The sequence below is a fragment of the Homo sapiens genome, chromosome 11 (genome assembly GCF_000001405.40).
Source record: "Homo sapiens chromosome 11, GRCh38.p14 Primary Assembly".
Classification (NCBI taxonomy): Eukaryota; Metazoa; Chordata; class Mammalia; order Primates; family Hominidae; genus Homo; species Homo sapiens.
The window spans coordinates 76539810-76563666 of NC_000011.10; the positions used below are offsets into that span (position 1 = coordinate 76539810).

The window sequence follows — 23857 nt, forward strand, 5'->3', positions numbered from 1 at the left end:
GAAATGAGCATTTTGACAGTGGAAAAAAGAGTTCTTTAAAATAATAAAAATTACTGCTTTATGGTGTTTATATGGCCCAGTTAAGGTCACTTCAGCTATTTTCCAAGGGTTTATTCTGTGACCTTCCTCCACAATCTCCACCCATGATATCCACAGCCATATTGAGCATTTTCTTTGACTTAAAAGCCAGCTGCTTGGCCTGCCCTTTGTATCATTCTGCAGTGGGTACTAGTTCTCTCTAATTTTCCTGAACTCTGGAGAATTACCGTGAAGTAATTATAGTTGAAGGAGAATTATTTTTAAATAGACTTAGTTGATCTTTTTAAAATCCATTTCACTTCTTAATAAAAAAATGCTTAATGTAATAATTATGAAGATTAATATGGGTGGTAGAAGTGTTCCATATAATTTGATAATTTCATCTGAAATGTATTTTTTATTTTCACATGTCATTCATTTCTGATGCTTTCATTTAAAAAATATTAATTTGCTTAATTTTAATATTATTATAATTTGTTTTTTCTACTCAGTCATATTGTAAATTACTTCAGTCATTGTTGTTTTAGTGTAAACCTTGACTATCTTTTTTTCGATTATGTTGAGCACATATGGAAGATTTTATTAACTCACGTAATTTAACATGTGCATACAAAGCATACTGTGAAATATTGTAAGATACTACAGAACATTTATAAAAGAATACTGGTGATGCTGCCTATAATCTCAAATCACATGTAGATATATGTATAGCAACAATAGAAACACTGCATTTGTGAATATAGATAGAATGTGTCATAAAAAATAAAGCCTATTTATATTTCACTGGATAGTTTTAAAGCTAGTCCTTATAATACATAAATGGCATTTTTACATTGATTTCCATAGTGATCATCTTACTCTTGAACACCCCACTATGACTTTTCTAAACAGGAAGTCAGTGCTATTTGAAATTATAGATCAGGGTATATGAACATTAGAATCATGGGTTATTGAGAAAGTTTCAATAATCCCAAAAGCCTTAGCTAATTTACAGATATATTGTATTTTTATCTGTTTCTAATTCAAAGGGTTAGTTTCCCAGTAATCATATGCATTTTTAAAGCTCTGTGGACTGTGTAAAAAGTTGAAGTTGAGGCCAAGTGTGGTGGCTCATGCCTGTAATCCCAGCACTTTGGGAGGCCGAGGTGGGTGGATCACTTGAGGTCAGGATTTCAAGACCAGCTTGGCCATCATGGCAAAACCCTGACTCTACTAAAAAATGCAAAAATTAGCCTGGCGTGGTGGTGCACACATGTAATCCCAGCTATTCAGGAGGCTGAGGCATGAGAGTAACTTGAACCTGGGAGTCGGAAGTTGCAGTGAACAGAGATTGTGCCATTGCACTCCAGCCTGGGTAACAGAGCAAGACTGAGTCTCCAAAATAAATAAACAAATGAATAAAAAGTTGAAGCTGGTAAAATTTGATAGATTGGTTACTTCATGGGACCTTTGTAGCAATAGAATAAGAAGCAGGGATGTTTCCTATACTGCAATCTTACCCATTTGTGCCAGGTGAGCTAAATTTGAGATGATAGAACAGATTTTTCTATTATTTTGTTAACTCTTTATATTTGTTTAGTACTTTATAGTTTAAGGACAATTTTTCAGTCTGTTACTTCATTTGGTCCTCTTCTAGGTAGAAACAGCAAGCCTTTATTATCCCATTAAAATAAAATCAATCAAACAAAACAAAACCTCTTAAGTTTTAGAGGCTAATAGAGGATGAGTGACCTCTTCAAATTCACTTGGCTGTTTGATGGTAGAACAGGACAGGATCCAAGCGTGATTCTTGATTCAGTTTATTTTCTGCATTATCACCCAGACCTTTAGATTTTTAGGAACTGTAAGGTTGTGAGACAGAATCACTTAATACAAAGGAGTGAATGCTACTAATGTTTTTATTGCATGTCGAACTGAGACCAAGAGATTAAAGAATGTGTATTGCCTTACTTTCCTTAAAGATATTATTTTGGGATTACAGAAATTGATTACTGCTTTGTTACCTTAATGGGATGAAAGTCATTGGAGAAAGTGAGTACAGCTCATGGGAGGATGCAACTTTAAGGGGTTTGTTCCTCCTTTGTGATAAGAGTTTTCACAGTGCTTCCGTATACATTTCTCATCTCATCCTTATAATAGCTCTGTTATTCCCATTTTGCAGATGAGGAAACAGTCTCAGAGAAGATAAGAGACTTTCTTAGAGTCACACAGCTCATAGATGGGCAGACTGTGGTCTTCTGCCTCCTAGTTCACAATACTACACTTTCTTTCTGTGATACAAGCTCACAGACATTTGTTTAAAATGACTACTGGTTACAGATGCTGTGGTGATTTCTGGAGAAATATCATCACCTCCTCTATTTTCAGTCAGCCATCGCTCCCAGCCCCAACAGCCTTCCCAGCCCCAGCGGACCCTGCTCCAGCATGTGGCTCAGTCACAGACCGCAACACAGACTTCGGTGGTGGTGAAGTCCATCCCAGCATCTTCCCCTGGAGCAATCACCCACATTATGCAGCAGGTTGTATCTCTTCTTTTTCTTCCTATCTTCTGCAACTGCCCATGCTTGAAATAAGATTCAGTGTCATCTTGTATTTTAAGAGGAGAAATAATTGGAACGTAGAGTGTTTGTGTAATTCTTTTCTAAGAAATGAGTAGAGGAAATGAATTAAGAGTCTTAACACCAGAAAATAATTCTGAAACAGTATTCTTAAATCTGTGAACTCTTACCATTTCAAAAGGGTGAGAATGTCTAGATGAATCTAATGACATCAGAATTGGTCACTGTTTTTGTGTATTTTACTGTGGAAGAATGTATCATTGAGGTAAATAAGATTTTCAAATGAAATAACATTTGGCTTGTTTAGCTGTTTGCTGCTGGGTTTGTAGTTTGTTTTTCGTTTTTTGTTTTTTTTTTTTTTTGCTTTTATAATGAATCCTCATAGTAACATTATGACTAAGGAGGAAAATAAATATTTGATTTTTTTAACTATACATGGTCAATTACAGAGGAAGAGATGCAACAGAAAGTTGAGAATATAAATCTAATGTAAAACAGGACATCTGGTATTAAGGGTAATGGGGAAAAGGAAAAATATGTTAATAGGTTGATTTTGTGTCGGATACTGTGCTTTGAGCTTTAAGTAAATTGTTTGATTCATACTATGATCTTGCAAGGTGGGTGTGTTATCCCTCTTTTACAAGTGAGGAAACTTTTATGCTCACTTCAGTAAGAAAGTAAGAAACTTGCTCCAGGTGGCAGAGCCAGGATTTAAACCCAAAGTGAACTGCCTCTGTTAAATAGTTATATCATGGATATCAGATTAAAGCATGACTTATCATTAGTAGTCACATAAGTCACCATCACTCACATGATGATGAATCTAACTGTAGGCAAACTACTGGAAAGAAAGGCAACGGAGAATGTTGAATTGAAAGCCTGTATGTGCAAAGTCATTATGGTATAGGGAAGAGTCACAATTGAATCTCAAAATTTTATAGTTTAGGATTTAAGTGTAGCATATGATAAGGCAGTAGGGAGGATGGGGATAGGGTGGATCTTGCTGTGTCATTGAGGGAAGCCAACTGGCTGGAGGTTTTGTTGGGCGGCAGGTCTCAGCCTGGAGTCCGGCCCTCAGCTGGCAGCTCCTGACATTGACCTTTCTCCGGACACCTAGAAAGGTCTGACAGGCTGGCCCTAACCGTGTCACTCAAGATGATGCCTCCTCACAACACTTATCACTGACACTGGGCACTTTGCCTTTCTACTGACAGGAATGCTGTTGTCCCCTCCTCAGTCTCCTTCCGTCCTGGGAGCCAGGGCTCTGGGATCTGAGCAAAGGGGCGAGGAATGCTAGTCGAGAGGTGCTTCATGCAGACCTTGGTGAAGCCTGAAGAATGATCTTCATCCATGCAGGGGGCTCTCTGTGGGGACTGGTACAGGCACAGGTCTCAGACAATCTCCCTGACCTTCCAGATAGCACTGGACCTACACATAGCCATGGTGGGCTTCTCTGAACCTTGGCTTTTCTCGGGACCTCATGGCTTGGTTACCGCTTTTAGAGAGGTTAACATCATGAATAGGCCAGACGGCTGTTTCCTGAGCCAGGGAGCCTTTCTCTTCTTTTTCCGTGTTTGGTTGTGCTTGCAGGGCCATCTTATTCTTCTAATCTGTAAGTTCTGGACCCTCTAAGACTTTTCTTATAGTAGTAAGTAGACCAGTTTTCGAAGCACTTACGTCTGAGAGTTGAAATTGCAAGTTGCAGTAGAAAGCTCCTTGAGGTTTCTTGGCCTTTCTAGGTTCTTCTGAAAATTTTTGAGTGAATCTCGTAAGTCTTTTTCAGTTAAGAGGAAAATGTAGCAATGTAGATGTTTTTCTTATTTCATTCTTACTTTGTGCCTTTTTTACTTAGGCATTAAGCAGTCACACTGCTTTTACCAAACACAGCGAGGAACTTGGAACTGAGGAGGGCGAGGTTGAAGAGATGGACACTTTAGACCCTCAGACAGGTCTGTTTTACCGATCTGCCCTGACTCAGTCACAGTCAGCTAAACAGCAGAAACTTAGCCAGCCCCCGCTGGAACAGACTCAGCTGCAAGTGAAAACTCTGCAGTGCTTCCAGACTAAACAGAAGCAGACCATCCACCTGCAGGCAGACCAGCTCCAGCACAAACTCCCGCAAATGCCCCAGCTTTCCATCAGGCATCAAAAACTCACCCCTCTCCAGCAAGAACAAGCACAGCCCAAGCCAGATGTACAGCACACACAGCATCCCATGGTGGCCAAAGACAGGCAGCTTCCTACCTTAATGGCACAGCCCCCGCAAACTGTAGTACAGGTGCTTGCAGTGAAAACCACGCAGCAGCTCCCTAAACTGCAGCAGGCTCCGAACCAACCAAAAATCTACGTGCAACCCCAAACCCCCCAGAGCCAAATGTCGCTCCCAGCTTCTTCAGAGAAACAGACGGCAAGCCAGGTAACGGAATATTGATAGCATGCAAAGTTAAACTTCTCTGTTCACGGAAAAAAAAATGAGAACATCACGACCCTATCATGATATCAGTGCTTTCTCCTGGCAAGAGGAAACCCAAAAGCCTCATTACGCTGGTATTACTTTGCCCCATCAGAAGGTTGACATTAGGGAAGAAATGCACGCATTAATATGTAGGAAGAAAAAAAAGCATAGCACTCAAAACTTGATTTTTCAGGCAGTTTTTATTGAAATCACTTCAGCATTGACCAACAGTGCATAGAAGCGATATCCCTAAATTATTTTTATTTTTTGGTATAAAATATTTATTTCCATGCCTATAAACTCTGATTTCTGTGGTAATAATGCTAAGTAAACTACAGTCTTTTAAGGAACTTCATTGAACATCTTTCTTTGTAGTTTATATCATAGCCATCTAGTTAACTTTATTTTTTAGATTTATCTTCTAGATTACAGAGGAATTATTGGTGGATAATTGAAAGCAAAATTATATTAGCAAAACCAGTGGCTCTGGAGTGATGTATATGTATGTATATATTATAAATACATATATATAGGATATGTTTGTATACATGTATTATGAAGCAAAAGATTGGAAAAAATCTTCTTTTTATTTTAAAAAGCAGAAGATTATATGAAATAATTTGAGCCAGGTTGAAGGTGTACTGTTTAGGGCTGTAAACCCCAAAGGAAAACTAGGCTGCTGAGACTACTTTTTTCTTTATTGCTATAAACCTTGGCTGGCTGAACAAAGGTTCTTTCAACCCCTCCTCTTTCTCTAGGTTTTGTAAAAGTAACCAGATCCTTCCTATCCAGCCCTCTTTTTAAAACAGCAAGCTTCAAAACTGTCTTCCTAGTATAGCGCACGAATGTTTCTTTTGCCATATTGTCTGGGGTGTTTGATTAGATTTTCTCAAAGAGATGTAGCTATAACACACACAACCCCAATTTATTTTCAGGTGGAGCAGCCAATTATAACCCAAGGATCCTCTGTTACAAAGATAACTTTTGAGGGGCGCCAGCCTCCCACAGTTACAAAGATAACTGGTGGCAGTTCTGTGCCTAAGCTGACATCACCAGTTACAAGCATATCTCCCATTCAGGCCTCTGAGAAGACAGCAGTGTCTGACATTTTGAAAATGTCTTTGATGGAAGCTCAGATTGATACAAATGTAGAACATATGATAGTGGATCCCCCAAAGAAGGCTCTTGCCACTAGCATGCTCACTGGTGAAGCAGGATCATTACCCTCCACCCACATGGTGGTGGCAGGGATGGCGAATTCCACTCCCCAGCAACAGAAATGTAGAGAGTCCTGTTCGAGTCCATCCACTGTTGGCTCTTCCCTAACGACAAGGAAAATTGATCCACCAGCAGTGCCTGCGACAGGCCAGTTCATGCGTATTCAGAATGTAGGCCAAAAGAAAGCTGAAGAGAGTCCAGCAGAAATTATCATCCAGGTAAGAATTGGAAGGAAAATGAGAAATCTTGTGCATCTTGGGGGTTGTGGGTTTGTTTGATATGTTTTTGACTTGTCACAGGAAGAATCAAGCCAAGACAGCAGGAAGACATAGATATTATCTTTGAGATGGTGTTTGACAAATTTGGTTTAACACCTATTACAAAAATACAAATTTATTTATTTTCTGGAAGAGGATCAGAAAATTGATGGACATTGTCACCCAGCACACTGTAAAGGCAATAAAGAGCCCATGTGTCAGTTTGATTTTGTAAGATACAAGCTATACTTGCCAATGTGTTCACTCATTAAGTCAACCCAGAAGATAGGAAGTTTCTGGGTTCAAATTTTGTACTCCTCAATTTTTGCTCAAAAAATTCTGGAATGTAACTGGATTGCACTTCTATTTCAAGTTAATTTGGGGGACCCTTTTCTTGGAAAAACAGTTCTTGTTCTTGATCCAAATTTATGACTCAGGACAATCAAACCTCAACTGCAATGTCTGGAGAGACATGTTCTAAGGTGATATTTTAAAATAATGTTTATATTTAATTTGGGACTAACCATGAACTTTACTGTTTAATTCAATCATTGTTATTAAAAAATCTTGTTTGGTTTCTGTCATGCCTTGGTAAGTACAGGCTAATTAACACAATAGAATTATTCATTGATAATAGATGGTACCTCACATTCCCTTGATTCTAAAAATCATCTCTTGTCATGCATAATAGGTCAAGACTAAAGAATTACTGAGTCCAGGCTACCCCTTAGAAGTTGTATTTTATCTCCCTCTCTCCTTGCAAGGTATCAGGTTGTTTTCTTGACATTTGTCATTCTTTGCTAAACAGATATATAGCTTGGAAGGTATCAGAATAGCACATTTTAGTTAATTGAGAATTTGGATTTATTGAAATGTGAGTAGACTAGGATTTACCATCAATTCATTATGGTAAACTTTCTCTTTGCCATGATCCCAAACTATGGGAGAATGCAAATTGACAATGTTAAACCAATTAAGGTAGAATTAAATATAGAGGAAGTGCTTAAAGGCAAGTAGAAATGGCCATTGAATTATTAAAATAATTTGTTTCCCTTTGTAAAAACAAATGTAAATGAAGTAAATATTTCCTGACAAAAGGATTTGTGATTTTTTTGTATTTTCCCCTGAAGAGGTAAGGTGTGGTGGAAAAGGAATGGTTTTCTGGCTTTGCCATTCATTGTATGATTTTGGGCAAGGCTACTTAACGTCATTTTGCCTTGGATTTCTCATCAGTAAAATGGGAATCAGTAATGCCTACTTTACAGGATTGATACAAGGATTACACAAAATCAAGCACCTAGCACAGTACGTGGCTCATAGTTGTTGTCTAACAGATGGTAATTATTACTGTTTTTACCAAAATTATCATGCCTACTGGGGGCTTAGATTCCTATACTCACTAAATTAAAAATCATTTTGAACAGCTTATTTGGGAATTATTTTTCTGCACTTTATAAACAGGAGTGAAAATGTAATTTGCTTCATGTATCAAGGATGATAGTTAATGGATAGGTTCTTTACAGAATTCGCAGCCAGCTTTTAGCATGTCCCATGTGCTAGGTGTGCTATGTCAGAGGTAAGGACAGCAGAGTGATTAACAACCAAACTTTTGGAGTCAGAGATCCCTAGATGTGATTTCTACCTGTATCCACTATGTAACAGCACTGTGGGTTTGGGCAACTAAACTAACCTATATATCTCTTTTTCTTTACCTATGAAGTGGAAGCATTAACATCTACTTCAGAGGGTTGTTTTGAGGATTAAGTGAGAAAATGTATATAAAGCACCTAGTCAAGTGTCTGTGTAGAGCAATGCTCAATAAAGATAGCTCCTATTATTATACTCATCATTAATATATTGTTAGAGCATTTTCAGGTCTTATTAGTTATGTTTAGCTTTGATCTGAAGTATTGATTTGCTGAGTCTGTAAAGTGCTTTGATTCTAGAAGAATGCTCTATAAAAATTCAACATGTTTGATATTAAATGCTTTGAATGAAAAGCATTGCTCTTTGTGGACAGTCTGTATTTTATTCATTGGTTGATTCGTTCATTCATTCATTTATTCCACATGTATGTTTAACTACTGTGTTCCAGGCACAGTGCTAAGTGCTGAGAATAGGGAAGTAAACAAGATGTATCTTCTATTATAAAAGAGTCTATATATGTGGAATTCATAGACTTTTAGAACTGCAACGATCTTCACAGTGTATCCTCCAACTATCTTATTTTACACAAGATTAATGTGGGGCTCAAAGAAGTAGAGTGACTTACTCAGAGGCCCACAGCAAGCCAGAGACAAAGCTGAACTAAAATCCAGGCCTCTTGACCTTGTCTAATAGTCTTACACAATTATCAGGTATGTGGAAAAAAGAAGCAGAAACAAACAAACAGAACTTCGTGACTCCAGAACCAATGCGTAGGCATCTTGCATTATTTTCTTGACAGTGTAATTTATATTTTCCCCAGTAAAGGGTTATTTTGGTCAGGCATATTTGCAAAGTGCTGATATTCAACTTTGCTCTGGGGTTTTTAATGTTAAAAATGTGTATTTATTCATCAAGTGTTTATTGAGCCTCTTGCTGTGTTCCAGGCCTTGTTCAAAGCTCTGGGCATCTAGCAATGAGTAAGATAGTCAAGATCTGTGCTCTGTCCACGTTCTCTTGGAGCTTACATTTTAAGAGTAAGAAACAATTTAACAGATGATAAATGCAATGAACAAAAATGTAACAGAATGTAATAGAGATGGGGGTGGGATGAACCCACTACTTTTGGGTTGGTGGTCATGGAAGGAAAGCTTTTCCAAGCATTTGAACCAAGTTGCAGATGACAGGACAGAGCCAACCATGCCATGATTTGGAGGAAGAATATTCCAGGAAGAGAGGAAGGACTAGTACAAAAGCACTAATGTACAAGTGAGTTTGGCATGAGGCTGGTAGCCATGGTAGGGTGTTTGGTTGTATAGTGAGTACAATAGGAAACAATGTTGGGGTTTTAAACAAGAGTATGACATGAACTGATAAACCTTTTTAAAGGATGTCTAATAAAGAGGAAAAAGAATCTGACAAGGCAGTGTACCTATGATATTTACTTACACAGAGGTCTACAGCAAGTGTTCTTCTACTGGTACTCGTCTTGCAGATAATAAAGGGCAAAATTAGGCTACATTTACATTTACATTTGCTTAATAATAAATGAAAGCTTTATTCAAAGTTCTTCTCTTGAATTAGGCAATAGATTTGAGCCTCCTTTGTTAGAAGAGGCACCATAAAGGAGTGGAAAGATTGCTTTCAGTTGTACAAGATTTGGATTTGAATCTTGGCATTAACCCTGACCAACTGTGTGACTTTGGTTAAGTCATCTACCCTCTCAGTTTCCTCATTTGTAAATGGGAATAATAATTTTCTTATAGTGTTGTCACAGGGATTTAGCAGAATATGATGGGATTTAGTAGAATGTGATGTGTGAAAGCACCTTGCACAGTGCCTGGCATGTAGTAGTTGTCCAGTTGTCCAAAAAATGTCAGTTTTCTTTTTTTTTTTTTTCTTGATATTGTTGGGGAAGTTATTCTGCTACCTTTTCTTACCATAAAGATTCTCCTGTGTCTTCTCTTCCAGGCTATTCCTCAGTATGCTATTCCTTGTCACTCCAGCTCCAATGTGGTGGTGGAGCCCAGTGGGCTTCTTGAGCTAAACAACTTCACTAGTCAACAGCTGGATGATGAGGAGACAGCAATGGAGCAGGACATAGACAGTAGCACGGAGGATGGAACTGAACCCAGCCCTTCTCAGAGCTCTGCTGAACGGTCCTAGTGTTTGGACACAATAGTGCACTTTAAAACCTGCTTGGTTACCAAGTGTCCAGGGAAACCCTTGTATTTTGATGACTAAAAAGAGCACTTTGCCCGTACTTAGGCTGTGGACCCTAAAACAGCAGTGTTTCAACAAGATGTTGCTGCAGGAGCAGCTTTTTAAAACAAGATAAAACTCACAGGGGAATGTACTTTTTTAAAAAAAAATGAAAAAGAAAAAAAAAGCTGCACATTTACAGTGACTTAAGACCTGGTCTTCTTTCTCTGTTGGATCATGGCCGGTGAAACAGTTTTGTCTTGCAGTGGAAAGAGACTTCCTGTGAATGTTTCTCAACTGGTTTCTACTGAGCAAAATACCATCTAAAAGGAGAATGTGAATAGTTGTATTTTGAAATGATGTGTCAGGAAAAGTTTTTTAAAAACTTGTATGTTTTTGCAAATCCCTGGAAGTGTTGAATTGGTTAAAATTTTACATTTTCTCAGTTCATAATTAGTTTATAAACACCTAGAATAATACTGGCATTAAAGAATCCTTGTTGGATGGTAGAAATCAGATCCCTAACCAGTGGGAGGTACTTTTTGGGTGGCTTGTGCATTCTTATCAGTTGTGTGCTAATTTATTGTATTGTTCCTTTGTGCTCTAAGCAGCACACTTGCCTTCTATTTATTTAAGTGTAAACATTTCAAAGCAGGCCGTACTCCTTCTGACAAATTTCTTGTAAACCAGGATTGCCTACGCTTTCCACTGTCGTCGTCTCCCCACTTTCCCTCTTCCTTTAAGAAAACTTACTAAAAAATGTTTCATTGCGAAGCAGAGGAAAAGAAACGTTTTCAGACCTAAAGGAAATGTTTGGTCATGTTAAGAAAACAAATTATTCATTCATATGATGCTTTCTTAACGTTGAAATTGCACATTCACATTGGACTGAGACTTTGAAAATAACTTTTACATACTTTTGTTTAAGCCCCTTTGAAATGTATAAAAAGTTCATTTACAGTTCTAAATGTAATGTTTTTAAGCCTTCTATCTTTTTAGGACACAGTTTGTTTAAGCAATATGTTTTGGTCTTGTGATCACTGTCTGTCACAAGTAGAGTGAAAGGGGTAAGGGGGTGGGAGGGTAAGAGTTTTGACAAGTTGTGGCAAAGGAAACTATACTTTTCATTTTTAAAAATGTAAATAGAAAAGTTTTTAACGGTTTTATATAGATTTCACTATAAATAAGCATTTTAAGACTGACAAATGTTGAACTGTACATACATTTATCAGCATAACTGCCCAGTTTTTTTGGTGCTGAAGTACTGTAAGTAGAATTCATCAACGGTCTCCTAATTTTTGCATCTACATCTGGGGGGAAAAAGCTGTGATACTATAGTTAATAAATTCCCACTAGAGTGACACTGAAGATTTAAACACAAGCATTCATAAGATGCGCTGATCTCTGGTGGTTGTCACTAGTTCTGCTAGGTGATAATGATTTACCCATAGATGGAGCTGTTGGATATTATTTTATTGTACAAATTCATGTTTAAAAAACTTTGTGACTGTTTCTAGTTAAGTAATTTTTTAACCTTTCTTGGGTCATAGACTTCTTTGGTAAACTATGAACTCTCACCAAAAAGATACACATGCAACATGTTAAATACATGTTAGACTTTGCATACAATTTTAGGGGCTCATGGGCCTCTAAGCCTATCCATGTATTCCAGGTTAAGCCCTCTGTTATGATCAATCCATTACTTACAGATTAAGTTTTTATAAAATAAAGTATCTTTTAAATATTCATGGATCAAGTAACAAGAGCAAACTTGAATAAAGTTATGTTCTACATATTTTGGCAGCATAGCATACCTGTGTCCCTTGAGAATTTAGCCTTCATATGTTTCTGCAATTGGAATGGCAAATAAAAGTGCTATCATCTACATTTTTTTAAAGAATTACAAATATTAAGAAATTATCAAGTGAAATTTAAAATTTTTCTTTTAAAGGTGTTAATTCCAAATAGAGCATGCATTCATTTATTTATTCAACAAATATTAATTGAGCATCTTCTGTATGACAAGTAGTATTCTGTGCACTGGGGATACCATAGTGAACAAACAGGAAATCCTATCCTTATGAAGTTTATAAACAGGGCTTCCTGCTCATGAAATGGATACAAGGAATGAAGACAGGAGAAAATAAGAACAATACTTAGGTTTTTTTATAAAGTGGATAGATGATGATGCCATATATGGATTTTCAGACATCCCTTTACTGAAAGTCTTAGCATTATATCTATTAGTATTCCACATTTAAGTACATAATTTAAAAGTAATTTAAAGTCATCTCTTTGAAGGATATTAACAAATTACAATGCAAATGCTACAGAATTTTTAGAATCCTAACAACTATTAGGCAGTGATAAGAAAAATCCATTTGGCTTAAAGTAAACTTTAATAAGTGCCTAGTATTGCAGATGCAGTTTATGGTGAACTTAGAGGATTAAAAACCAAAGGGGGCTTCATTGAGATATTCACATGCCATAAACTCTCCCATTTAAAGTATACCGTTTAATGGTTTTAGTATATCCACAGAGTTGGGCAAGCCATTACCACAATCAATTTGAGAACATTTTCATTAATCACAAAAGAAATCCTGAAATGAAACCACCACCACCATCGCTCCAGCCCTGGGTGGCCACTCCTCTACTTTCTGCCTCTTATGGATGTGCCATAAGAAATGTGGACATTTCATATAAATGAGATTATATAATATGTGGTCTTTTGTGACTTCTTTCACTTAGCGTATTTTCAAGGTTCATCCGTGTTGTAGAATGTGTCAGTACTACATTTCTTTTTATGGCCATTCCATTGTGTGAAATATATCACATTTTGTTTACCCGTTTATCAGCTGATGGATATTTGCATTGTTTACACTTTTGGGCTATTATGAATGATGCTGCTATGAACAATTTGTGTACAAGTTTTACGTATTTTCAGTTCTTATGGGTATATACCTAGGAGTGAAATTGCTGGGTCATACAGTGACTGTTTAACCTTCTGAGCAAGTGCCAGACTCTTTTCCACAGGGACTGCATATCAGCAGTCTATAGGAGTTTCAGTTTCTCCACATCCTTGCCAACACTTGCTGCTGTTTGTCTTTTTTATTCTAGTCATCCTCATGTATGAATTGTAAAGTGCTACCCCATTGTGGTTCTAATTTCCATTCCTCTGATGGCTAATGATGAGCATCTTTTCATGTGCATATTGGCCATTCATGTATCTTTAGAGAAATACCTCTTCAGCTTCCTTGCCCATTTTCCAATTATTTTCTTTTTCTCTCATTTTAAATTGAGAATTTTTGAAGTATAGGAAATACTACTAATCTTAAGAGAAAAGTAATGTTTATCACCCTTAAAATCCTAGGTTAGGTTCTAGTTCTGCTTCTCTAATGTAACAAATTGCTTAGCAGTATTAAAACAGTATAGCTTCATAATTGAAAACTTGCTTTTAATTACATTTCTTTTTGAGGTTCTCACAGTAGCCTGCTAAGGTAGGAGACTTAGTACAAAGGAAATAGTAGTCAGGCGGTCTGGATTTGACCCTTAGACTCTTCTGTGTATTGATCATGTGAATTTTAGCAAGTCACATTTCCTCTCCGAGTCAGTTTCTCCATAATAAAAGTGAGTATTTCTAACCCCATGGGACTATTATGAAGACAAGATGAAACAGTACACGTAAAAATGCCAGTGAGAGTCGGGTGCTCAGTATTTTTTGAGTCCAGTAATTACACCACTCCTACTTTATAAATAGAAAACTGAGGGTTCAAAGAAGTTAAATGATGTACTAAAACTCAGATTAAATGCTAATGACATCATGCTGAGCCATGAATTACTACCTTCTCTAGAAGGAAGTGTTTTTGTTACCAAACAGGACTGGCCCTTGGAAGGATGGAGGAACTCGGTGTTGGGCTATTAACATGTCTTCTAATCAGCCTTGGGTGCCTTTACACAGAGGTGCTCGATTCAGGCTTTTTTTTTTTTTTTAGTTTAATTATGTGTCATAAATCCCATATAAGAGGAAGTGGAGTGAAAAAAAAGCACTGTATAAGCAAGACCTTTCCCAGAAAGGATATTGAAAACAAAGTCTGCGGCCTCTGCTTGCAGGTTCGTAAGCTTTAAGTAAGCAAGACTTGATGACCTATATATTGAAAAAGAAGAAACACAGGATCAGATTTGTAATTGTGAAAAGTCTTGCTCTGCCTTCTTCCCTCTTCCATGCTCACACATACACACTATAACTGAAAACATATACTTGCTTTTTTTTTTTTTTTAAACCAGACAAGCCCTGTGAGCTTGGACCAGCTCTAAAAGGCATAAAACAGCAGAGGACAGAATGAAATAGTACTACTTTATCTGATTACTTAAAACTGATAGATAAGCAATCTCTTCTCTCCAAGTGGTTCTGTCTGGTGTCCTGACTTTTCTTTCTCTGTCTTGCAACAGGTAGTTAATGGGCTCTTTCTGTGTGCAGACATTGAGGATACAGTTGTCAGCTAGGTGGGAAAAGCCTCTATTGTCATGGAACATCCAGCCTAGTGAAGGAGACATGTTAATGAAGAATTAAAACTAGATGGATTAAGTGTTAAGAGATGTGATGGAGAAATGCATAGTGTCATGATAGCATATAAATGGGGAGGTTGGGGGAGTTTCCCTCAGGAAGGAATGCTGGAGCTGTGATCAGAAGGAACCAGAGGAATTAGGATATAACTAGGCAAAGAGGAGGGAGATAAGCTGTGACGAGATAGGACAGCAGGTGCAGAAGCCCTGTAGTGCGAGAGGCATGGTGGGAGGGAAACTTCGAGTAGGCCGCTGTGGCTGCAGCATGAGCAGCAAGGGCAGCATGGTGAGAGCAGACGGTGATAAACTATATGAATCTTGCAGTTGTGTTAAAGGTGTGTTTGTCTTTATGAACAATGGGAAGTCATCAAGAAGTTTAAGTCACGAGCTGGCAAAATGAATTAATACACTTACAAAATATTTGGAGTCTTGCTTGATTAGAACAGAAAAATATATTTGACATTTCTTTTTTGATAACAATGTTATCTCCTTATGTCCTTTTCTCAAACATCTTCAATGGTTCCCTAATACAATGGTATGAATCTAGCATTTAAGGCTCTTAAAGCATCATTTTCTAGATTCATATTCCCATTTTACTACCCTGACCTACTGCCTACCTCCCCCACCACATACACACTATGCTCTGCATTTGAAAGTCTCACCCATTTGTCAAAGTCCAGCTTGAATTCCACCTCCTTCATTTAGACTGCCCAGATCTCTTCAATGAGAACTCAACCCACCCCACTGCTGAGTTCCTCTAGCATTTGGGAAGAAACACATGCTTACTTAGCACTTACCATTGGTTACCTGCTATGAATTATTTGCAGTGCATAATGATCCTCTTTTGGTGTAAGAATTCACACTTTATTTTTTGAAGTCATCAAGTTCCTTGTGTGATACCTGATGGGAATTCCAAGAGTCCACCATCACTCAGTGGGTGGGTTTCTTTGTAGTCCCACACAATGTGCCTCTCAGAGAGTCCTTGAGATGCATTATTTTAGGGAGTCGTTCTAAAAAAGTTTTTTTCATCCTAAAATCATAGACACTGAGCTTTCTTAGTTCTTTTTCTCTTATGCTGTTGAATTAAATCTCAGGCTTAATGTTTAAGTTAGAAAAGGGTTTAGTGAAATCATAAATAATCTTGATAAGATTCACTCTCTCACTCAACCCAATACTGTTCCTATTTGGTCCACAGGATCAACCGCTATTTTCTTGCATGGTGGTATTCACCAGGGTTTGTACTCAACCCACATCCCTTCTCACTAAGCACAGTCTTCCTGGGACTTTCATCTGTGCTATAGATTCAACTTCCACCTAGGTATGGATTAATTAAGTCATTGAATATTTATTGAGTGCATGTGTCTCAGGCAGTGTTCTAGCCACTAGGGATATAGCAGTGAACAAAATACTAAAAAAGTACCTGCCCTATGTAGCTTACATTCTAAACAGGTGATAAGTATAAGTTAAAAATGCATAGTATCTTAGCGATAATAAAACAAGTAGGGAAGAAGAACATGAAATTCCAAGATGCATGTGAAAATTTAGATAGGTTAGACAGGGAAGGCCTTACTGAAAAGGCAACAACAACAACAAAAAAATGGAATTGAGAGAGCTAGCCGGGCTGATGTCTGTGGAAAGTGTTTCAGGTGACAGAATAAGTGCAAAGGCCCCAAGAAATGTGCCTCGCGTGTTCAAAGACGGAAGAATGAGACAGGATTAGAGTGAATGGGGAGGAAGGGAGTAGTAGAACAGAAGGTGAAAACGAAGCATTTCTAGTTTTCTGAGAGTCATCATAAAAGGGTGCTGAATTTTGTCAAATGCTTTTTTTTTTTGCGTCAGTTGAAACTGTGGATTTTTTTCTTTGTTTTATTTTTATTTGTTTATTTATTTGAGACAGAGTCTCGCACTGTTACCCAGGCTGGAGTGCAGTGGCGCGATCTTAGCTCATTGCAACCTCTGCCTCCCGGGTTTAAGTGATTCTCCTGCCTCAGTCTCCCAAGTAGCTGAGATTAGAGGCGCCCACTACCACACCTGGCTAATTTTTTTGTATTTTTGGTAGAGATGGGGTTTCACTATGTTGGCCAGGCTGGTCTCAAACTCTTGACCTCATGATTCGGCCGCCTTGGCCTCCCAAAGTGCTGGGATTACAGGCATGAGCCACCGCGCCTGGACCCTTTTCTGTTTTTATTAATGTCTTTTGTGGGCAGCATATTGGATCATGGTTTTTTAATCCATTCTGCCATCTCTTGTTTTGGATTGGAGGCTTTAATCAATTTACATTTAATATACTATTGATAAAGAAAGACTTCTACAATTTGATAGTTGATTTTCATATGTCTTTTACCTTTTAAAATCCTCCATTTCATTCATTGCTGTCTTTTGTGTTGATATTTAAAATTAATCTATTTTTATTTCTTTAAAAAATTTTTCTCCTAATCTCTGTGTTGGTCAATTTTGTGTTTTTTTTTTTTTTTTTTTGTAATGAAATGTTTTGATTCTATTCTCATTTCTTTTGTGGCTATTTTAAAGATATTTAGTATTTTCTTTGTGGTTACCATGGGGGTTATATTGAACATCATAAATTTATAGCAAACTAGTTGAATTGAAACCAACTTAACGTCAATAGCATACAAAAAATTCTGCTCCAGTGTATCTTTGTCCCCCTTTTATGTTGTCACGAATTATATCTTTATGCATATGTAACCAATAACATAGATTTATAATTTTTTTATTCATTCATCTTTTAAATCATGTAAATAATTGTCTTTTAACTCTCCTCTAGGTTTTTCTGGGCTTTTAGTTGGTTTAGTTGGTTGATTATTTGGTCGGAGGCTGTAGTAGTCCATTTGTCTAGTGGCTTTTTCTATTTATTTTTTCATAGATTGTATTCCTTTTCATGTGTGGTCACTGGTCACTGAAGTTGCTCTTCCTTAGCTTGTGTCTAACTAGGGTTTTGACAGATTTCTTTGAGTGACAGGACCTAAACAAACAAAAACACTTCTCTCAGTCTTTGCAGGTTGCTTCTGTTCTCTGGCTCTCCTTCAACACTTACGCAGACTTCCACTGAACCTACGGACCAACCTGAAGTGAAAGTTTGAGGTCTTTGACAAAGCTTTCTAAATTCCTCCATATACAAGAGTGCTTTGGAGTCCTTTAATTTCCCAAAGAAACACTCTCCTTGGCTTTTTCTTCTAGGCTTTCAGCAGTCTATTATATGTTGCAGCCAAAATGTAATCTTTTGCTTCAGGCATCTGCAGGTTTTTTTTGTTTTTGTTTTTGTTTTTGTTTGTCAGCCTTATAATGTTTATAGAGTACTGTCTGCTACTTTTCTGGCCTGGGTACATTCTGCCTTAAGCAAAGCAGACTGTCTTGCATCAGTCCTTTGAATAGCCCTGAGACAGATTAGAGCAGACCTACACAATAATTTGAGAATGATGTCTCCTCTGCCCCTTCTAGAAAGAGGGACCAGGATCCACGATAGAACGTGGGCTGACGTCTTTAAGACTGCTGCCAAGCCGGGACCAGGGCAAGGAGTAGTAATGCCACACAGCTTGCCTGTATCATATTTTTTTATTGTGGTAAAATATACATAATAAAGTTTACCATTTTAGTTATTTTCATTAATAAGTGTACAGTTCAGTGACATGAAGCGCATTCATGTTGTGGTGCAACCATCACCAGTGTCCATCTCCAGAACTTTTTAATCAACCCAGACAAACTTCTTTAAACAATAACTCCTCATTCCTGCCTGCCCCAGTCCCTGGTAATCACCCTGCAGTCAGGAGTTGCCCTCTTCTTGATTCAGTGTTCAGTTGTTGCTGTAAACCTTTGACTGTTTTCTGGAGTTCTGACAAAGTTGGTTCTGACAGTTTCTGCTTGTTTTTTGGTATTTCTGTGAAGCTGCCTACCCTGCCATTTTGCTGACGTTACTATTAATGCCAAGGTTTTTGTTCTGAACACCTTGGAAGAAGAGAATGGCTATTAACTGAGATGAGAAAGACTGGGAAGATCTAATTTGGAGAGTAGAATATCAAGGGCTCAGTTTTGGATATATTAAATTCAAGATGCCACTAGATATCAAGGAGAGAAGTCAAGTAGACAGAAAAGAAAAGAGGTCTCAGGACTGAGCCTTGGGGTGGTAAGGACCTGGGGGTCAGGAAGATGAGGCAGAACCAGAAAAGACCGAGCAGAAGTAGCCAGAGGATGGGAGGTAAAGTTGGAGATTGTGGTGTCTCAGAAATAGGTAAAGACAGTGTTTTTGCTGCTAAGTCAAGTAACATGAGGACTCATGGAATTTGCCATGTGGAAGTCATTGGCAATCTTGGGAAAAGCAGTTTTGGTGGAGTTGGAGGAGAATGGGAGGAGAGAATTGGAGACCAAGAGTACAAATAATTTCATGAGTCACTGTAAAGAGGAGCAGAGAAATGGGGCAGTTGCTGGAAAGGGAAGTGGGATCAAGAATTGTTTGTTTAATGTAAGAAATTGGGATTCCTGATGGGATTGATCCAATGGAGAGGAGAAAGTTTGTGATGCAGGAGAGGAGAGAATTGCTGTTGCACTGTCCTTGAATAATGGGAGGGGACAGAATCTAGTAGAGGTGCTGGGTTCATCTGTTAGAAGAGGAAGAAGCAGGTAGGTAGGTAAATGCATTTGCTTCAATTTTATGATGGCTCTCAAATACACATCTGCAATTGCTCTCTTCTTTGAGCCAAAACTTACTTCCTTGGGACATCCCTGACTGAATTTTTCTAAAAGTACGTCAGCCTCAAGTTGTCCCAAACAAAGATCAACCCCTTTCCTTTCAACTTACTCTCTCTGCTTGTTACTCCCTATCCTTGGCAGCCCATTCATGCTGAGAAGAGGAAGGGTCAGTTTTTTCAGTAAGGTGGAAGCATCAAGAAAAAGGCAATTCCAGAGCTGAGGCTGGAAGATGGGTAATTTATCATGTGGAGAAAGGTGGGGAAGAATGAGACAGGCAAAGCATCAATGGTGGGGAGGGACACTGAGCTTGGGTTGGGAGGTGACTGGGGGCGGTGAGCTCAGAGCAGTCATCTAGAGGCTGTTACACTCCCAGATGCCAACAAAGCATTGTCAGGGGTTGTGGAGTTTCCCATAGGTTGTTATGTAATCCAAAAGGCTACTTGTCTTGAATTTTTCTTCCATAGCATTAGATTGTTGTTCTGCCAGAAGAACCCTGCAAGCTGCTTCCACCTCCGGGCCTTGTGCCGGCTCTTCCCTCGTCATGCAGTGCACTTCCCTCTCACCCATCATCTCCGTGGTCACCTCTTGGGACACTTCCCCAGAGTCTTTCTCCCTTAGCCTCCTCATCTGTCTCTCATTTATGGCTTTTCTCATTTGTTATCCCAATTTTTGCTCTGTGAGGGTTTTCCTCTGAGGGTTGAATTAATCTCATGTCCTTAGAACAGGCCCTGGCATGGAAAAGGCATCAATAAGTTTGTTGATTGACTATATAGAAAAAAAACCCAAACCATCTTGGTCTTAGGTCTCTGCCCACAGGTGCACAAATGCTTACTAACAAGCAAAGCCCAGAAATAACCTCCTTTCAGGCTGTTTTTAGATGAGGATGTTATTGTTGTGAGACGCGTGTGTGTCATCCATTCTGGACTCAGGAGACAGTGCCCATCTCTGCTGTCATTTGTTCTGTCACTTCAAAGTGCAGGAAAACCATGGGTGGTGATTTTAGAATCTTATTCAGAACCCTCAGGGAATGAGTCATTGTGCACTGACGACTTTTCCGGATTGCTGCCGTTCAAATAAATCAAGCAACAGGACATTATTGTTGTTGTTATTGTTGTTAATTTTAACTATTTTTGATGGTAAATTTCAGAAATGTATTATCATACTTTCCTCAGTATGATTCTACCATCTCGTTTCTTCAGAATCATTATGATGAGCATAGTTATAATAATTTTTCAGCTCAGCAATGAGAATACAGAGCTTTGCTGGCCTCTCCCTGGAGCAGATCCGGACCACAGCCCTAACTGTACGGTGGAGGGAGCTGAGCTGCCCCCAGAAATCAGAGGGGTAAGTCAGGGAAAGAGGCAGGCCCAGACCCCAAGCACAGGGCCAGTGAGTCCCAGGCTTCAAGTGCACCAGAGTCCCCTAGGGATCTTGTTAAAATACAGGTTCCGATCCAGTAGACTCAGATTCCTCTGTGGGCTGGGATCGGAGTTCTGCATTTTTAACAAGAACCTGGGCAATGCTGGTGCGACCAGACCACAGACCACCCTTTCCATATCAAATCTTTCTGTATCAAGTTGACCTCCCAGAGGTTTTCTTGTGATCTTGAGTGGATTTTACTGGGAAGCTTATCTTTCTCTGGGGCTTCTTACATGTACCAGGTGGTCTCTGGTGATAATAATTCCTCTAAAGTTTATAAAATGGTCACCTATTTCTCTTCATTCTCACAATAATCCTAGGAGGTAAGTTAGCACCCTTTTACCGACTGGGACACCAATTCCTGACATCACAGGGTTCCCAGGAGGTGGAGGCAGAGCTCATGGCTCTGTGTCTAGTGCGCTTCTCATCCCTTTCTGCTGTCTCCCCTTATATCTGTGCTCTGTGCCGTATACAGCCTTGTGGACTCTCAAGGCCGTGGGAGTGCTGTGGGGAAAATAATTGTGTGTGTGCACACATGTGCGTGCCTGTGTTAACAGGAAAGGCTGATTAGCAACAGCTGTAGCACGTGAGGCCCATGTAGTCTCACTTGGGACACCCTGGCAGAGACCAACGTTTCCTCTCTGCTCCATCTCCCTGTACCCATGAAGCCCTGGCATCATATTGTATGGGTGAAATATTGTGTCACAAGCAGCAGCGGTCCCTGCAGCACGTGCTGAGATGCTGTAGCTGCCCCACCTTCACCCCTTCTCATTTGGGGGCAGGCTGGCTGGACTTGATCTGCCAGCATCTGCTTCTCTGCCTGATGCCTTTCTCTGACCACTGGGGCTACTTTGCCCTGTACAAGGCGCTGAAGTGCTGGGAAATTAATGCCCCTCAGTCAACCAAGGGCTAATGGAAGCTGATGTAAAATAATCGAGCTCTCCTAATTTAGGATAACTCCGTGGCATTTTCCCCCACATTAAGCCTCAGTTACTCACCGTGGTGACATGCTTGATAATGTCTCACTTCCCCACTCCCATAATAGTAGTTCCTGGGATCCCTTCCTAAAGGAATGACTTGCACTCAACTCCTTGTCTCAGGGTCTGCTGGAGGAGGCCAAATTAAGGCACTTCTCCCAACCACTCTTTCTACTAAGTTACATCTGAACCCATATACCTGACTTTCCTCTCATCACAGTGGAGAAGTATTCCAGTTCCTGGTGAATTCAGACCCTCCATGAGGGGCCTAGATCGCATCCTTACAGCCCTCTCAAGATTTCCCTCTTGATATTATTTCCCTTCTCTGTGGCATCATCTTTCCTTCTCCCTCTCGCTTCCCTCTTGTCTCACTTTTCTCCTCCTCCTCCGTCTCCCTCTCTTCTAGAATACACCAACCTAGAAACAGGCTTCAAGATGACCCCTCAGGCCATAGTCTTCTGTTTCTGGGCAATATGGAGCAATAGTGACTGGATTTTTCTCATGTGCCTGAAACAGCCATAACAATAACAACACCACCACCACTATATGACACTGTGGTTTTCAAGACACTGGGCCTCAAGCAACAGCAGCCAGAAGATGGGAAAGAAGCAGGGTGAAGAAGTCTATGATTGCCCTAGCACAAGAGGGCATCATAGGGAAGAGCGTAGGGAAGAGAACCCAAGTAGAGCCTGCTGGGCTCTCTGAATTGAGAAAACTGGACTAAGAGTCCAGAGAGACCAAGGTAGTTAGAATGTCCAGGGCAAAGTAGTAAAGGAGAGAACTTCACAGAGAACTCCTGAGATTTGCAGTGATCCATGCATGCTTGTGAAGAAATATACAAGGCTAAGGGAAGCACCACCGGAACTAGAGGAAATCATAGCTAGTGCTCACACAGGGCCAGAATAGTGCCTCTTCCGACCAGTCAGTCTGGAAAACCTCATGCTTCACAAGACATTGAGTACGTACTCTGAAGGGTTTTGCCTCAGTAGTGGGGAATAGTAAGCCCTAGACTAACTGCTGCTCTAGTCCTTCCTAACAAATCTTAAAAGAAATACCAAAATGATCAAACTGTTTCCAAGTGACTTAACTGCATCTCAGAACAAAGTGCAAGAATATTTATAGTAATACAAAAATGTCCAACACTCAGCAAGGTAATATTCATAATTACTATCATCAAATAAAAAATTAACAGGCTTGCAAATCAATTAAAACTGGCCCAGGATTGACACAGATGTAAAAACTGGCAGGCAAGAACATTAGCACATTTATTATAGCTGCATTATATATGTTCAAAAGTTAAGTGGAGACATGGAAGATATAAAAAAAAAGACTCAGATCAAATTTCTAGAGATGAAATCTCTAGACTTCATTTACTGAAGTGGACTTCTTCCACTGAAGTCTTGAACTCCTCAAAGTCATCCATGAAGACTGGAACCCACTTCTTCCAAACTCGTGTTAATGTTGATATTTTGACCTCCTCACATGGATCACAAATGTTCTAAATGGCATCTAGAATAATGTTCCTTTCAGGAAGGTTCTTAATTGACTTTGCCCAGATCCATCAGAGGACTCACTATCTGTGGTAGCTATTATACCCTTACAAAATGTATTTTGTAAATAATAAGACTTGAAAGTTGAAATTACTCCTTGCTTTATGGACTGTAGAATGGATGTTGCGTTGGCAGGCATGAAAACAATCTTGTACATGTTCATCAGAGCTCTTGGGTGACTAGGTGCATTGTCAATGAACAGTAATATTTTGAAAGGAATATTTTTTTTTCTTAGCAGTAGGTCTCAATAGTGGCTTAAAACATTCAGTGAGCC

The 23857-nt window shown here is 39.1% G+C and overlaps 1 protein-coding gene across 50 annotated transcripts in view, besides 3 other annotated features; it reads left to right on the forward strand.

The window, feature by feature from the left end:
• The window catches only part of EMSY (EMSY transcriptional repressor, BRCA2 interacting), a 108014-nt gene extending 94792 nt beyond the window's left edge, over nt 1-13222 (forward strand). For 27 of the 50 annotated variants that reach the window (NM_001300942.2, NM_001300944.2, XM_047427277.1 and 24 more), the window contains 4 exons: nt 2407-2558; nt 4450-5013; nt 5988-6488; nt 10143-13222. In NM_001300942.2, coding sequence (NP_001287871.1) covers nt 2407-2558; nt 4450-5013; nt 5988-6488; nt 10143-10337 — 1412 coding nt within the window. In that variant the 3' untranslated portion in view covers nt 10338-13222. Of the gene's footprint in view, nt 1-2406; nt 2559-4449; nt 5403-5987; nt 6489-7218; nt 7292-10142 lie in introns of those variants that run through there. The other 23 variants (XM_047427269.1, XM_047427273.1, XM_047427297.1 and 20 more) reach the window with 4 other exon arrangements.
• Nucleotides 2760-3959: an enhancer, noted in NCBI's record as "CDK7 strongly-dependent group 2 enhancer chr11:76253613-76254812 (GRCh37/hg19 assembly coordinates)". NCBI's record gives its function as "activates an origin of replication core promoter dependent on BRD2, BRD4, P300/CBP, MED14 and CDK7 cofactors, with strong dependence on CDK7, by STARR-seq in HCT116 cells {active_cell/tissue: HCT116}" and the evidence as "EXISTENCE:reporter gene assay evidence [ECO:0000049][PMID:35650434]".
• Nucleotides 13289-13839: an enhancer, noted in NCBI's record as "NANOG hESC enhancer chr11:76264142-76264692 (GRCh37/hg19 assembly coordinates)". NCBI's record gives its function as "activates a minimal SCP1, AML or CMV promoter by ChIP-STARR-seq in primed H9 embryonic stem cells {active_cell/tissue: H9 hESC(primed)}" and the evidence as "EXISTENCE:reporter gene assay evidence [ECO:0000049][PMID:30033119]".
• Nucleotides 14675-15176: an enhancer, noted in NCBI's record as "NANOG hESC enhancer chr11:76265528-76266029 (GRCh37/hg19 assembly coordinates)". NCBI's record gives its function as "activates a minimal SCP1, AML or CMV promoter by ChIP-STARR-seq in naive H9 embryonic stem cells {active_cell/tissue: H9 hESC(naive)}" and the evidence as "EXISTENCE:reporter gene assay evidence [ECO:0000049][PMID:30033119]".